This window comes from Homo sapiens, chromosome 3 (genome assembly GCF_000001405.40).
Source record: "Homo sapiens chromosome 3, GRCh38.p14 Primary Assembly".
Taxonomy (NCBI): domain Eukaryota; kingdom Metazoa; phylum Chordata; class Mammalia; order Primates; family Hominidae; genus Homo; species Homo sapiens.
This window is the reverse complement of record NC_000003.12, coordinates 159925004-159940647: the sequence shown is the minus strand read 5'-3', so window position 1 is coordinate 159940647 and position 15644 is coordinate 159925004. Positions and strand designations below refer to the sequence as shown.

Here is a 15644-nt window from a genome sequence, read left to right as displayed (position 1 = left end):
TCTTTATAGCAGCATGATTTATAATCCTTTGGGTATATACTGGGTCTAATCCTTTGGGTATATACTGGGATGGCTGGGTCAAATGGTATTTCTAGTTCTAGATCCTTGAGGAATCACCACACTGTCTTCCACAATGGTTGAACTAGTTTACAGTCCCACCAACAGTGTAAAAGTGTTCCTATTTCTCCACATCCTCTCCAGCACCTGTTGTTTCCTGACTTTTTAATGATCGCCATTCTAACTGGTGTGAGATGGTATCTCATTGTGGTTTTGATTTGCATTTCTCTGATGGCCAGTGATGATGAGCATTTTTTCATGTGTCTGTTGGCTGCATAAATGTCTTCTTTTGAGAAGTGTCTGTTCATATCCTTCGCCCACTTTTTGATGGGGTTCTTTGTTTTTTTCTTGTAAATTTGTATGAGTTCTTTGTAGATTCTGGATATCAGCCCTTTGTGAAATGAGCAGATTGCAAAAATTTTCTCCCATTCTTTAGGTTGCCTGTTCACTCTGATGGTAGCTTCTTTTGCTGTGCAGAAGCTCTTTAATGTAATTATATCCCATTTGTCAATTTTGGCCCTTGTTTAGATTCTTATTGGTTCCTCCTTCAGGACCACCATCCTTAATTTGTTGAATGACAGGAAAGAACCTTACATTAATAAGGAAGAGAAACTCCCCACTGCTGTTCAGGAGGACACGCAAGGGAAAGTGCCAAGTTCAAACTTCCCACAAATATCTTTATTCAAATTTTCCTGGGGATGTCCTCCACCTAGTAGACTTGCCCCTAAGTGAGAGAGACCGAGAGAAGACTCTCGCATCTGCCTGAATTTGGATTAAAGCCTAATGATAATGATTTGTGATTTGGGGAAGAGGAAAATGAGGACAGGTGGGAGTTCTATGAATAATGGAAATCTCGAGAACAGTTTTTACAAACATTTATTGTACACCTACTGTTCATGTTGCCCTGTACTAAAAAACACAGATGTAGACCTCCAGGAACTGGCCTTCTAACTGGGGGTTAAAATATAATGATATATATTGACATTTAAGAACAGGCTGGGTGCAGTGTCTCACACCAGTAATCCCTCCACTTTGGGAGGCCAAAGTTGGGGAATTGCTTGAGGCCAGGAGTCTGAGACCAGCCTGGGCAACATAGTGAGATCCTGTCTCTATTTAAAAAATAAAAGTAAAATAAAATAAACATTTAAGAGTAATCCAGGAGAATTCATGGGCCACTGAACAATGTATTCCATGTCTGTTACTTGATGCAATATGCTATGAGTTCTAGACATTCTCCAAACAGGCCCTGTGGAGGAGGAGGAACTGAAGCTGTCTTCCTAAGTTGTAGACTCTAGGTAAGTGAACAGGCTGGTGATACGGTTTAGAGTGTACGGTTTAGAGGAGTGATCTTGGGAGAAAGAGAGTGTCAACTGGGATGAACCACAGGATGGATACTTGAAAGAAGAAGAAACTGAGCAGGTAGACTGAGGCCAGATTGCACAAGATAACCAAGATGTCTGTTTTTAAAGATCAGATTTGTTATGTTCCTGCAACAAGCCTTTCACTAGTGTTACTAACAAGCAGTGAAAGGACCAGGACTGGATTAAGGTCAACTGATACCCTAAGCACAACACAATAATGGTGCCCCTTGCCTCTTCTATTGCTTAAAACAAAGGGTCTGTTACACAACTCAGCTGATGAGTTAAATGCTAGTCAGACCCAGCCCTTGTGTTTATATTGGATGGAAGTGAAACTCTCACACCATGAGATGGAAACAAATGAGATATCTGATGACACCTTCATGCCAAACTTTTAAACTTTAGTCACTCACCATGCCAAAGAAAATGTTTTTTAAACAATGCAGATTAAAGACAAGCGTGGCAGATAAGGACAATTACAAGAACATTCTACTGAAATCGAGAGTGGCAATGAAAGAGTGAAGGGCATGAAACCCATGGGGAAACTCCATGGGCAGAAAAGAACAAGGAAAAGAAGAAGGAGGCATGAATACTTTCTAGACTTAGGTAGTGAGTCTGGGATAACTGGAAGTGGATAATTGTGAGCTCCTTGAAGGCCAGGCCATTGTCTCATTCATCTTTTTATCCTCAGTGTTTGAACCAGGATCTGTCACACAGAGTTCAAATTAATAAGCGTGTATTGAATGTCTACTATGGCCATCAGTCAGAGGTGGGAATAAAAATATAAGTAAGACCTGGGCCTTGCCTTTAAGATGCTCATGGTCTGGTATGGGAGACAGGTATGTGAGAAAGCAAAATATAGTGTGATCAATTGATATAATTGTATAATAATCTATTGTGTTATATATACTATATAACTATAGATTGAGTAACGCTACATGTATAAAAGTTGAGTTTTTATAGGAGCAATATAAAAGCTCTTTATCCTGCCCTATTCTTCCCAAGGTGGATTGTTTCCAGAGCTGACAGATCACCCACACTTGTAGGTAAAGTGATTGTCTTAGGAAAGGATCAGAATGAATGTAGCCAGGCTCATACAAATGAGTACATTTGCTTTCCTCTATTACCATCTATTTCACTTTACTTTCTCTCCTCACGGGTGGTCGGGTGAGCAGAGTTCTAAGACCAGAAGCAGAAAATGATAGGTTGAGTCTCTCTTGCATCCCACCAGGGGTGCCTTTCTTTAGCTTTAAGGACTAGGCAGGCCTGGCCTTCAGAGGCTTCCTGGGAATCTTTATCCCTCATGTCCTGACCACATTTACACCATGGTGCTTAGCTTGAATCCCTATCCCATTGGTAATAATATGCTTTTAGCTTTATAGTCTCTCTCAGAGCGCTTGCATGAACATGATTTTGTTTGAAACTGACAGTAGCCCTTGCTCTGTGCTTTGTTTTTACAGATGAGGCAAATGTGGCTCAGATCCCCAGACTATAAAAGGCCTCTGAGCTGAACTAGCCTGTTTGATTTGGCTAAGAAGTCACAGTTGTTTCTCCCCCGAGAAGGGGACATATATGCCTATAAGCATATAAATGGATTATTTTCAATTTTTTCAGAGAGAAAATAGCCTTCATTTTTTTCTAGTGCTATAAAATCCAAAATGCCCAAGCAAGTTCGTGTGTGTGTGTGTGTGTGTGTGTGTGTGTGTGTGTGTGTTCTATAAACTGTTTATTAGGTAACAAAACCCCTCAATAAATGTCAAAAGTAGAAATATTAAATACCGTTTTTCTTAAAAGGCAATAACATCAGACATTAACAATAATAAAAAGAGAAAAATAACCCACCACTAAACCAGGAATTTAAAAACGTTATCTTTGGAACTACAGAGCAAATAACTGAAATTGTAATAATATCAAGAAAATAACAACAATGAAAAGTCTTTATTTCCCCAATCTGTGATTTAGACTTTGCCAAATCATTACTGAGAGAAAAATTAGAAATCAATCCAGTGTTATATTAGGTAGCTGTTGATACAAGTTTGATAATTAATATGGAAAAATAAAACAAAAAGATGTAAAAATGCATGTCAATTTAGTCCTAATTGAGGGTCACTGATAGTAGAAATAATCTTTCCAATTGTGTTAGATCTTTTCTCTAAAGATTGCCAACAGTTCTACAGAAGTGAACAAGTTTTCATATACAAAAATATTTCCATAGCATAGAGAAATAAAGTTAATTCAATAAGCAAATATGAATGCTTATAGGTAATGGAATAAAGGTGGTCACATAACACAGACTTTTTTTATTATACTTTAAGTTTTAGGGTACATGTGCACAGATTTTTAAAGAAAATTCCAACATAATGATTAAAAATTACATAGCTGATTATATATACATGTGTAGCTAAATCTATTTTTTACATGAATTTTGCTTCAATAAAATAATTTGTTAAGCATACCACTGAATGTGACTCATAGGTCAGAAAATGATTTGTCCTTAGACTTTATGTACTAATTTTTAGTTCTGAAAAATGTAGTCATCATATGTAAAAGAAAAAATATATTAGCTTTTGAATTAGACTGTCCTTAAGGTAGACTGGCCCAAAATTGACTTCAAGTGGACCAGATTGGTACAATGCAGGGCTATATCTGCAGAATGTGGCAGAACTCAGATGGTGAACAACTGGGGTGCTACTGTCAGGGCAAGACTCTGTAAAACCAGCATGATGCTGGCCATTGAGCCATTCCTTTCTGCCAGTCCTTGCCAAGGTAGATTGCTTCCAGTTTTGAGAGACTGGTTAGACTTACAGGTGTAAAGTGATAGTGACCACAGCTATAAAAACAAAGGAAGTACCAGGACAAGGAGTTAAGTAGATCATTACAATAGGGACATTTGTCCATCATACTGAAGAGCCCCAGGCTGCTAGTTTTTTTTTTTTTAACTGTTAGAATTTTAAACTTGTTTTTATACTTTTACGCAAGTTCATAAAATTGTGAGAATTATGTGTGATATGAAAGTAAATTGGTGCCGGGCACAGTGGCTCACGCCTGTAATCCCAGCACTTTGGGAGTCTGAGGCACGCAGATTACAAGGTCAGGAGTTCAAGACCAGCCTGACCAACATGGTGAAATCCTGTCTCTCCTAAAAATACCAAAAACATTAGCCAAGCGTGGTGGTGCATGCCTGTGATCCCAGCTACTCAGGAGGCTGAGGCAGGATAATTGCTTGAATCTGGGAGGCTGAGGTTGCAGTGAGCTGAGATCACACCACTGCACTTTAGCCTGGGCAACAGAGGGAGACTCTGTCTCAAAAAAAAAAAAATGTAAATTGGCTCTGAGTGATGGTATAGAAGTTACTTACAATGAAGAAGATTGCAAATTTCAAGGCATAAACCACAGAATGTCTCTTCTGGACATTGTGAGGGCATTTCAAAATAAAATTTCCTTTCTGCTTTTGATAAGTTATTTCTGAGTAGATGTAATATTATTATAAATAATTGTGAATACACATGGGGCACAGGATGCATGGAAAGCTTCAGGTTTTTTTTAATATCTATCAGTGGATGCGTTTTCTTGGCATTCACAGAAGGCAGGAGGAGGCGGATGTCTCACAGATGCATGGGACACTGAGGCACAGCTATGTTAAATGTTATCTTGTACTAAAGCCTCTAGAATAGATGCCCCTTAAAGTAAAGCTACTGCATGAAAACCATACTGTTATTAAAAACTATGTGATATGGTTTGGCTGTGTCCCCACTCAAATCTCATCTTGAATTGTAGCTCCCCCAATTCCCACGTGGAGCTGGTGGGAGGTAATTGAACCATGGGGGCAGGTTTTTCCCATGCCGTTCTTGTGACAGTGCATAAAACTCATGAAATCTGATGGTTTTATAAAGGAGAGTTCCCCTTCATATGCCCTCTTGCCTGCTGCCATATAAGAAGTCCCTTAACTCCTCCTTCCTCTTCCGCCATAATTGTGAGGCCTCCCCAGCCATGTGGAACTGTGAGTCTACTAAAACCTCTTTTTCTTTATAAATTACCCAGTCTCAGATATGTCTTTATTAGTAGCATGAGAATGGATTAATACAGTAAATTGGTATTGGGTAGTGGGGCACTGCTGTAAAGATACCTGAAAATGTGGAAGCGACTATGGAACAGGCAGAGGTTGGAAGGGTTTGGAGGGCTCAGAAGACAGGAAGATGTGGAAACGTTTGGAACTTCCTAGAGACTTGTTGAATGGCTTTGACCAAAATGCTGATAGTGATATGGACAATAAAGTCCAGGCTGAGGTGGTCTCAGATGCAGATGAGAAACTTGCTGGGAACTAGAATAAAGATGACTCTTGCAATGTTTTAGCAAAGAGACTGGCAGCATTTTGCCCCTGCCCTAGAGATTTGTGGAACTTTGAATTTGAGAGACGTGATTTGGGGCATCTGCTGGAAGAAATTTCTAAGCAGCAAAGTGTTCAAGAGGTGACTTGGGTGCTGTTAAAAGCATTCAGTCTTATGTATTCACAAAGATATGGTTTGGAATTGGAACATATGTTTAAAAAGGAAGCAGAGCATAAAAGTTTGGAAAATTTGCAGCCTGACAATGTGATAGAAAAGAAAAACCCATTTTCTGAGGAGAAATTCAAGTTGGCTGCAGAAGTTTGCATAAGTAACAAGGAGTCAAGTGTTAATTGCCAAGACAATGGGGAAAATGTCTCCAGGATATGTCAGAGATCTTCCTGTGGCAGCCCCTCCCATCACAGGCCTGGAGGCCTAGGAGGAAAAAATGGTTTTGTGGGCTTGGTCCAGGGCCCTTCTGCTCTGTGCAGCCTAGGGACTTGGTGCCCTGAATACCAGTTGCTCAAGCTGTGGCCAAAAGGGGCCAAGATACAGCTTGGGCCATGGTTTCATAGGGTGTAAGCCTCAAGCCTTGGCAGCTTCCACATGGTGTTGAGTCTGTGGGTGCATAGAAGTCAAGATTTGAGGTTTAGGAACCTCTGCTTAGATTTCAGAGGATGTATGGAAATGCCTGGATGTCCAGGCAGAAGTTTGCTGCAGGGGCAGGGCCCTCATGCAGAACCCCTGGTAGGACAGTGCAGAAGGAAAATGTGGGGTGTGAGCACTGCCTAGTGGAGCTGTGAGAAGAGGGCCACCATTCTCCAGACCCCAGAATGGTATATCTACTGACAGCTTGCATCATGCATGTGGAAAAGCTGCAGACAATGCCAGCTTGTGAAAGCAGCCAGAAGGGAGGCTGTAACCTGCAAAGCCACAGGAGCAAAGCTGCCCACAACCATGGGAGTCCACCTCTTGCATCAGTTTGACCTGGATGTGAGACATGGAGTCAACAGAGATCATTTCAGAGCTCTAAGATTTGGCTGCCCTGCTGGATTTCAGATTTGCATGGGGCCTCTAGCCCCTTCATTTTAGCCAATTTCTCCCATTTGGAATGTGTGTATTTACCCAATGTCTGTACCCCCCATTGTATCTGGGAAGTAACTAACTTGCTTTTGATTTTACAGGCTCATAGGCAGAAGAGACTTGCCTTGTCTCAGATGAGACTTTGGACTGTGGATTTTTGAATTAATGCTGAAATGAGTTAAAACTTTGGAGGACTGTTGGGAAGGCATGATTGGTTTTGAAATCAGGGGTGGGATGATATGGTTTCGCCATGTCCCCATCCAAATCTCGTCTTGAATTGTAGCTCCCGTAATTCTCATGTGTCATGGGAGGGACCTGGTGGGAGGTAATTAAATCATGGGGGCTGGTTTTTCCCATGCAGTTCCCATGATAGTGAATAAGTCTTGTGAGATCTGATGGTTTTATAAAAGGGAGTTCCCCTGCACATGCCCTCTTGCCTGCTGCCATGTAAGATGTGACTTGCTCCTCCTTCACCTCCTGCCATGATCGTGAGGCCTCCCCAGCCATGTGGAACTGTGAGTCCATTAAACCTCTTTTTCTTTATAAATTACCCAGTCTCAGGTATGTCTTTATTAGCAGCATGATAACAGACTAATACACTATGCATGCCAAATTTTATTTGATTCAGGTATTTTGGGCCAGAAAACAAGACAACAAATGACCAAAAAGCTTCTATTTTGGGAGACTCAACCAATCAGTCAAGGTCTTCAGTGCATATGACTTCTCTAAAGGGCCAATAATCCTCTTCTATTGAGATCTTTTGGAGAATTCCATGGAAAGGTGTATGCATAGGTGGGAAGCTCTTTTTCATGATTTGGATGAAAATATGCTTGATTATAATAAATAGTTAAAAATATTTTAGCCAGGTGTGGTGGCTCATGCCTGTAATCCCAGCACTTTGGAAGGCCGAGGCAGGTAGATCACTTGATGTCAGGAGTTCGAGACCAGCCTGTCCAACATGGTGAAACCCTGTCTCTACTAAAAATAAAAAAAAATTAGCCAGGTGTGGTGGCATGTACCTGTAATCCCAGCTACTCAGGAGGCTGAGGCAGGAGAATTGCTTGAACCTGGGAGGCGAAGGTTGCAGTGAGCTGTGATCGCGCCACTGCACTCCAGCCTGGGTGACAGAGCAGGACTCCATCTTAAAAAAATAATAATTTTAAGTAGCTTTGGGTCAAAAGATATAACTGGCTAGAGTATAGTGAATATATCACTTTGGAGGAGAAGGAACTAGGTCAGCATTTCTTACACTAATTTCCTCTACATAACAGTGTTCCATGAGATGATACCTGGCATTCACTGAAAAATAAGAGTGGGATCCCTTGGGCAGGTTTTGAGAAAAATCTCTTAGAGATTTATAGTGCACACCAAAACAGTAAAGCTTCTGAGAAGTCCTGTAGATGTGTATTTAGTTCATGCATTCAATCAACAATACTTATTGTATACCTATTATGTGCCAGCACTGTTTAGGTATGATAAACTTAAACATAGCATTTGTGCCACTTTCTTGACCATGAAATCATGGTTTATGTAATATGCTAACACTACTTGTTGCAAAGAGTGGCATTTGGGAGATGTTGGCTAGGTCTTCCTGATCTTTTGTTAGCATTTGGCCGTCTAGGATAGATGCCCCTTAAAGTAAAGCTACTGCATGAAAACCATACCAATATTAAAAACTATGGGTACCAACTTTTATTTGATTCACATATTTGGGGCCATAAAACAACACAACAAATGGCCAAAAAGCTGATTTTCTCCTCCCAGAGAAGAGGAGCCTTCTTTAGGGAGCTGAGTTGTGGTGTTGGAGCTGATCAGTAACACTGGGTAGGATTTGCCCATAGGCTATAAAATATAAAACCAAAGATGAGACAGCAAATGAACTAGGGCTGAAACAAAAAACAAAACCTGCATCTCAGGACAACTGAGTAATCCACCCAGAGACTGTGGGAAAACTCTAGGTTTGGGGGAAAAGAATGGCGTTTTAGGAAGCAGAATTGGAGAGGGAGGGGGCTCAAATCAAGTGTGATGTGAGAGAAGCCTAGAAAGTTCTCAAAATCTTTGATGCCTGGTTATCAGCATTTTTACAGGGTGCTGGTGACCTTGGCCATGGTGGCTAGGGGACTATCAAGGACAGATGTGATAGCTAAGATAATGTGTCCACTCATATGAACTCCTGTATTTTACTAGTGATCTTTATTCTGTTAAACTGGCCAATTGCTTCATGGCAGCCATTTTGAAAAATGACAACTGCAGAGAAAGTCCTAGAATGAGTTTTACATAGTTTTGAAGCACAAGCAAGCTTCACGATTCTCCAAATAGCTTTTGACACAGAGGATAGTAGTTGAGGGAAGAGAGTGTGCAAAACGGGTTAAGGCAGGGGTCCTCAGTGCAGGGGCCCCCACCTTTGGGCTGTGGGCTGGTACCAGTCCATGGCCTGTTAGGAACTGGGCTGCACAGGAGGTGGTGAGCAGTGCCAGTAAGAATTACCGCCTGAGCTCTGCCTCCTGTCAGATCAGCAGATCACAGGAGTGTGAACTCTACTGTAAAATGCATATGTGAGGGATCTAGGCTGTGCACTCCTTAAGAGAATCTAACTCATGCCTGATGATCTTCGGTGGAACAGTTTCATCCCAAAACCATCCCTGCCTGCCACCCCTGTGGAAAAATTGTCTTCCATCAAACCAATCCCTGGTGCCAAAAAGGTTGGGACCACTAGGTTAGGTGACTGAGTGGCTAGTTAAGTACATTTTCTCATTTTTCCTCTGTGGATTTAAAAAGATCTTGCTCACCATTTTTCACATAACTTTTTATATATTTAATGACACTTAACAAGTGATCTCCTCCCAAAAGCCCCATCAGCCTCTGTGGGCTTTTCTTCTTCAACCCGTTTCTCCAGATGAAAAAAGAATCCAATTACTGTAGCTTTCCTAGTTAATGGTCAATTTCTCAGCCCATTTATCATTTTCATTGATTACCAAAAGAGACTCTCGGTTTATGAACTCATTTTCAGGAGCCAGACTTAGTCAAGGCTGGTCCATGCTAGTGCATGCTAGTCTCATATGCATCAATCAATACTATTCTCCTGACTGGGCACAGTGGCTCACCCCTGTAATCCTAACACTTTGAGAAGCTGCAGCAGGAGGATCACTTGAGCCCGGGAGTTCAAGGGCAGCCTGGAAAACATAGCAAGACCCTGACTCTACAAAAAACTTTTAAAAATTAGCCAGGTGTGGTGGTGTGTGCCTCTAGTCCCAGCTACTCAGGAGGCTGAGGTAGGAGGATTGCTTGAGCCCAGGAATCTGATGCTGCATTGAACTATTATTGTGCCACTGCACTCCAGCCTGAGCAACAGTGAGACCCTGTCTTTAGAAAATAAACAAAAATAAAAATAAATGCTGTCTTCTCAAAGTCCAGTGCCTGAGTAAACCTCAAACCTAGACACTTGAGTTGTGGTATTCAGAGATGGGGAGACATGCTTCCATGGAAGGATTTTTATTGTGTACGTGGTTTGTAAAATAACTGCTTGTTTCTTGATGATGAGATGTGCTCATCATTCCTGTGTGTATAATTCAATACATGGTTAATATTTACACGTGTCAAGTTTTCATCAGTCTTTTCAAAATGGCCTTTCAAAGGTAAAGACTAATGGGAACTTTTGAACACTCGAGCCTCATTTCTTCCTGAAGACCCTCTGAGGATGAAGCCATGTGCAGGCAGAAACAGAGGGCTCTGTCTGGCCCAGAGACCTGCCTCATGAAACCCTTGTTCCTGAACAGCAAGAGGAAATCCCGCTCCCCTTGGCTCCACTCACAGAGCCATAGTTCACATTTGTGGTAGTTTTAGTTTCCCTCTTTGTGAGGTAAGCAGCTTTCTCCCAACCAACCCCATGTCAGCGCCCCTTCTTTATTTTGGCTTCCAGAATGAGTGTTGGAGTCCTGCTGTCACTGAGGGCAGGGCCTGGACTTCCTGCCGGCCCCTCCCCACACAGGATGAGCTCACAGGCCTTCCCCTATTGTGTTTCCCTCACTATTACTGCTGAACCTTGTGGAGTTCACACCATTCTTTTAAAACCATTCTTTTTGAGGAATGAGACTCTGTCAGGGTGAGTTGTTTGCGGAAGTAATGCTGTTTCAATGTTTTAGTGTTGCTGTTGATACCTCCCTGGAGTCCAAGAGAAAGTGAAAGTTCATGTTTACTCTTTTATGGGAAACATCCACCTCCCTCCTCACACTTCTTCCTCAAAGGTCTGGCTTTGGTTCCCTCTGGTGTTCACTATAGCAAGTGGGCCAGATGGAGCTTCTGTTGGTTGGCTATGAAATGGAAGGCTTGGTTTTTTGCAAGACATGTGATCGACGGAGCCATGTTGAAGTCTTTAAAACATAGCCCAGTTGGATCCCATAACTTACCAGTCACGCCTGGGACAATCACAATTTCCAGCTTCCATTCACATCAAAGCTCTGTCCCTCCTCCCCAGGCAAGCTAGAGTGCTCAGCGGAGGCCTATCTGAGGAGGTGACGGCAAGCCCAAGGGCCAGCTCATTTTTTTTTTTTTTTTTTTTTGAATCAGTCTCACCGTAGCCCAAGCTGGAGTGCAGTGGTGCAATCTTGGCTCACTACAACCTCCAGCCCCAGGGCTCAAGTGATTCTCGTGCTTCAGCATCCCTAGTAGCTGGGACTACAGGTACGTGCCACCACACCTGGCTAACTCTTTTGTGTTTTAGTGTTGCCCAGGGTGGTCTCAAACTCCTGAGCTCAGGTGATCTGCCTGCCTCGGTCTTCCAAAGCGCTGGGATTACAGGCGTGAGCCACTTCGCCTGGCTGGGCCAGTTCATTTTTATACTCGAATCATGACCATGGAATGCTGAGTCAGACACACTTTTGCTTACATAAAACCCAACACTGGCTTCTGCTGTCCTCATAAGTACAACTTCTAACTTGGTTTACAAGCCCTTGGTGACCTTGCCCATCCTTGTCCTGCCAGCCTCCTTTCTCCACATTCCATAGCCATCCTATCACTCACATTCTTCACAGCATTCCCTAATTAAAAGCTGAGGATTTCTTCACAAACCAAGACCTCTGCATGTGTTCCTCTCTCTGACTCAAATCCTCTTTCGCCCAGTTCTCCTTCCTCTTCTTCATTCTGCTTGTTTAAACTCCATTCATGTTTTAAATCTCAGATTTCCTCCAGAAAGTCTTTCCTGGCCCCCCAGACTAAGCTAGGTTTCCTAGCCCTATAATCATTAGTCTTTGTTGTGATTGCCTGTGTCCCCATTGGACCATCAATTCTGTAAAGCAGGGGACCATATTTGCCATATTTACCACTTGATCTCTGGCACTGAGCACAATGCCTGGCACATATTGTATGCTTAATAAATATGGGATGAGTGATGGTTTTAAAGTGGCTGTGGGTCCCTGAAAGCAGTAGCAGAGTTAGAAGGCTTTTCAGACCAGGTTCCTTGTATTGCAGGGGCATGAAGTAGGCTGATGCTGACATGGCTGGGACCCAGAAACATCAGCACAAAGGAGATGAGTCTGTCTGTTCTTTGACAGCAGGAAGTAGCTGCAAAAATGTGCTGCAAGGCAAGGAGTGGTGTGTGTGCAGCCCAGGCTCAGAGATGGCAGGCTTGAGGCCTCTGTCCAGATTCCACAGGCCTGCCTTGCTCAGGGCCAGTTGGAGTGCTTTGCCTGATAGACCCCAGAGGGGACTTTTGACTCGACATTTCATGAGGGCCCTGTATCTAATCCGCAGATCTGTCTCAACCCATCTGTTGAAGTTTCTCCACTCAAATGTCAGTCCTAATTGGAGATTGGTGATTTGTTCCCTCAAAGTCAGGCAAAGGCCAAAAGGGGCTGCAGGACTTGGCGAGAGAGGAGTGGCGAGGGCTCAGCTGGAGGGTGGGGGCTATTTGCTTGGCCCCCATTGTGTCTCCAAGGGCTTTTCTGTATGACTTGGGAGATGCTGGGAAATCACTCTCCCAGGCTGACTGAAGGCTGGGAGAAAACAGCAGAGAACAAACTCCTCTCTAGTTTGTTGCCTGGGCTGCCACTGACCCCATTTCTGCTCTCTGCCTCAAGATCAGGCCTTGTGTGGCATGCTGGGTGGTGAAGAGGGTATCCTGACAGGTATGTGGGAGAAGGGCTGGTGCCTTGCAGTGGACCCGAGGCCTGGCAGCTTCCAGTGGGCCCACATTCTACTCCCCATTTAGTAAGACAGACAGGTTAGTGGTCAACAGTGTGGACACTGAAGCTGGGCCGTCAGGGTTTGAATCTCAGCCCTGCCATTTATGCCTGGCTATGCAATCCTAGGCAAGCTACTTAAAAGTTCTTTGCCTCTCTTTCTTCCTTTGTACGTATCTCATAGTTTCAAAGTCCTTAGAATACTGTAAATATTTACAATACTGAAGCAGCATTTTCATCTATAAAATGAGAGGATTGGACTCAATGAACTCGAAGAACCCTTTTGATGTAAAACTCACAACCTGCCTGGGTTCAAATCCTGACTTCACCACAGACCAGCTGGTAGTTCTCAAGGTTAGGGACTGTACTTGTACCTGGCTCAATTCTGGTGTGACCAAAGTACCTGAGACAGCACCTGGCACATAATAGGTACTCAGAAAATGTTGTTGTTATTGTTGGTCGGTTTTTTAGAAACGGGGTCTCACCCTGTTGCCCAGGCTGGAGTTCGGTGATATGATCATAGTTCAATGGAACCTCCAACCCCTGGGCTCAGGAGATTTTCCTGCTTCAGTTTCCTGAGTAGCTGGGACTACACCACCATGCCAGGCACACACCACCATGCCTGGCTAATTTTTATTTTTATTTTTGTAGAGACAGGGTCTTGCTATGCTGCTTAGGCTTATCTCAAACTCCTGACCCGAAGTGGTCTTCCTGCCTTGGCCTTCAAAGTGCTGGGATTACACGTGTGAACCACTGCTACTGGCTGGTCTCTAATCAGGAAATTTTGAATGGGTGGTGCATGGATGAGAATCCCATGAAGAGGTATAAATAACTGTTATGAAGCAATGAATACGGGCTTGCCTCGGCCCAGGGGCCAAAGCCTTCAGGAAGAAGAAAAGACCGCCCCCATCTTAACAGATGGATTTGTGGTCTTGAGGAGCACCAAAGCCCTGAAGAAAAGGGGGGAAACTAGGGTTTGGGAGACCAAGAGTAGAGGAATATGCAGAGGAAGTCACCATACACTATGGCCTGCCCTCCTGAGCAGGAATGCTTGCTTCCTGCTGACCTGGAAACCAGCTGTCCAGCAGAATGGAAAAACAGGTGGACTTAGACCCAAAGACCTGAGTATGAATCCAGCCCTGCTCTTCTCTACTGTGTGCCATGGCACAGAGCACACACACGCCATGCCAGACAATTGATTTTAATCAACTTTATCTAGTTGATAAAGTACTTACAATATTGAGAGAATGAATGGGAGCATCACTAAATACCTTCTCAGGATGCCAAATTTCATCTTTTGACATGAAAATGTTTAGTTTTCAAAGTCGTTTTAACATACCTTCCCATACACAGAATGCCCCTGCAGGGCAGGAACCTTTCTTATGCCCATTTTGGAGATTTGATTCAGAGCAATTGCTCAAGATCTGCTGGCTAGTTTGAACTCAGGTCTTTGGACTGCAAATTTTTCTTTCCCCTCTGCCTCCTAGTATGCGGCATGAATCTCCAGACTAAAGTGAGACCTTTTAGATGGCTGAATAAGGAAGAAACCTGGAGAACATACATGTGGGTTAGAAGTCATTATGGCTCCGAGATCGCAGGCTGATGCCATTGTTACTGGGAACTGGAGACAGAGCTGAAGGACCCAGGGAGCCGGCCGGCCCAGCTATTAACACCTCAGGGAGCTCAGCTTGTGCATGGATGAGGCATCCAGGAAGGCAAGACAAGGTAGATGCCAGGCTCATAAGAGGGAAATTCTTCTAAAGAAGGGAAAGCACTGGAGGGAAATAAGTGTAATTGCTTCTCATTTGAGATATTCAGCAATGTCTGATGTATATCTCCAGGGAGGATACTTTCAGTTTAGGGGAGGATTTGAGAACTTGGTTTGGGGATTCTAAGCCTAGCATGAACAGTGAAGAAAATCTTTTATGCCTCTGTACAGAATCATCACCAAGCAACTTTCAGGCACATATTCATTCATTCTCAACTCTGAGTACTTACTATGTGCCAAACACAGTCCTGGGCCCTTTGGGGTGGTACAAAGTTGATTCAGCTATTGTCTCTAATCTTGAGGAACTCCTGGAGGCTTAGTCATGTGGTCAGGGTTTGAACCCAGACAATCTGACTCTGTGCTGTAAATTAGCATCATGCTACCTCTGTTAGAAAACACACCCAACTCGGCCTGGAGGAATCCAGAAAGGCCTCTAAGAAGGAGTATCAGCTTTGAGTGGAGTTGAATTGAATTCAGCAAATGGATGAGAAGGGAAGGATGTTCTAGGGAAGGACAATGTGTTGAAAGGCTAAAAGTTGTAAGGAGAGAAAGGCATATTCAAGGAAATGCAAATAATGTGGAATGACATAAGATTAATGATAATAATAGAAAGAGGGTAGAATGTGTGTAGGAAGTAGAAGGAGAGGAGGCTGGAGACTCGAGAAGGGCCCAGTTTAAAGCACTTTAAACTCCATGCTCAGTATTTTGTCTCAGTGGCATTGAAAAGTGATGGATGTGTTTTGGGCAGAGCAGTGACATGGCCAGCACTGTGACATGGGACATTGTGTGCAGGAGCTTCCTCTAGGGCAGTGGTTCCCAAGCCCAGTCATTTACTTCCTGGAGTAACCATTTTTTCTTCTTTGAATCCACTCCTTCT

At 43.2% G+C, this 15644-nt stretch overlaps 1 long non-coding RNA gene across 1 annotated transcript in view, besides 1 other annotated feature; it reads left to right on the top strand.

Annotated features, from left to right (window-relative positions):
- Positions 1-15644, top strand: part of IL12A-AS1 (IL12A antisense RNA 1) — a 293693-nt gene that overhangs the window by 266445 nt on the left and 11604 nt on the right. The window lies entirely within an intron of this gene.
- Positions 10814-10963: an enhancer, noted in NCBI's record as "active region_20754". NCBI's record gives its function as "activates an Ori minimal core promoter by ATAC-STARR-seq in GM12878 lymphoblastoid cells {active_cell/tissue: GM12878}" and the evidence as "EXISTENCE:reporter gene assay evidence [ECO:0000049][PMID:35858748]".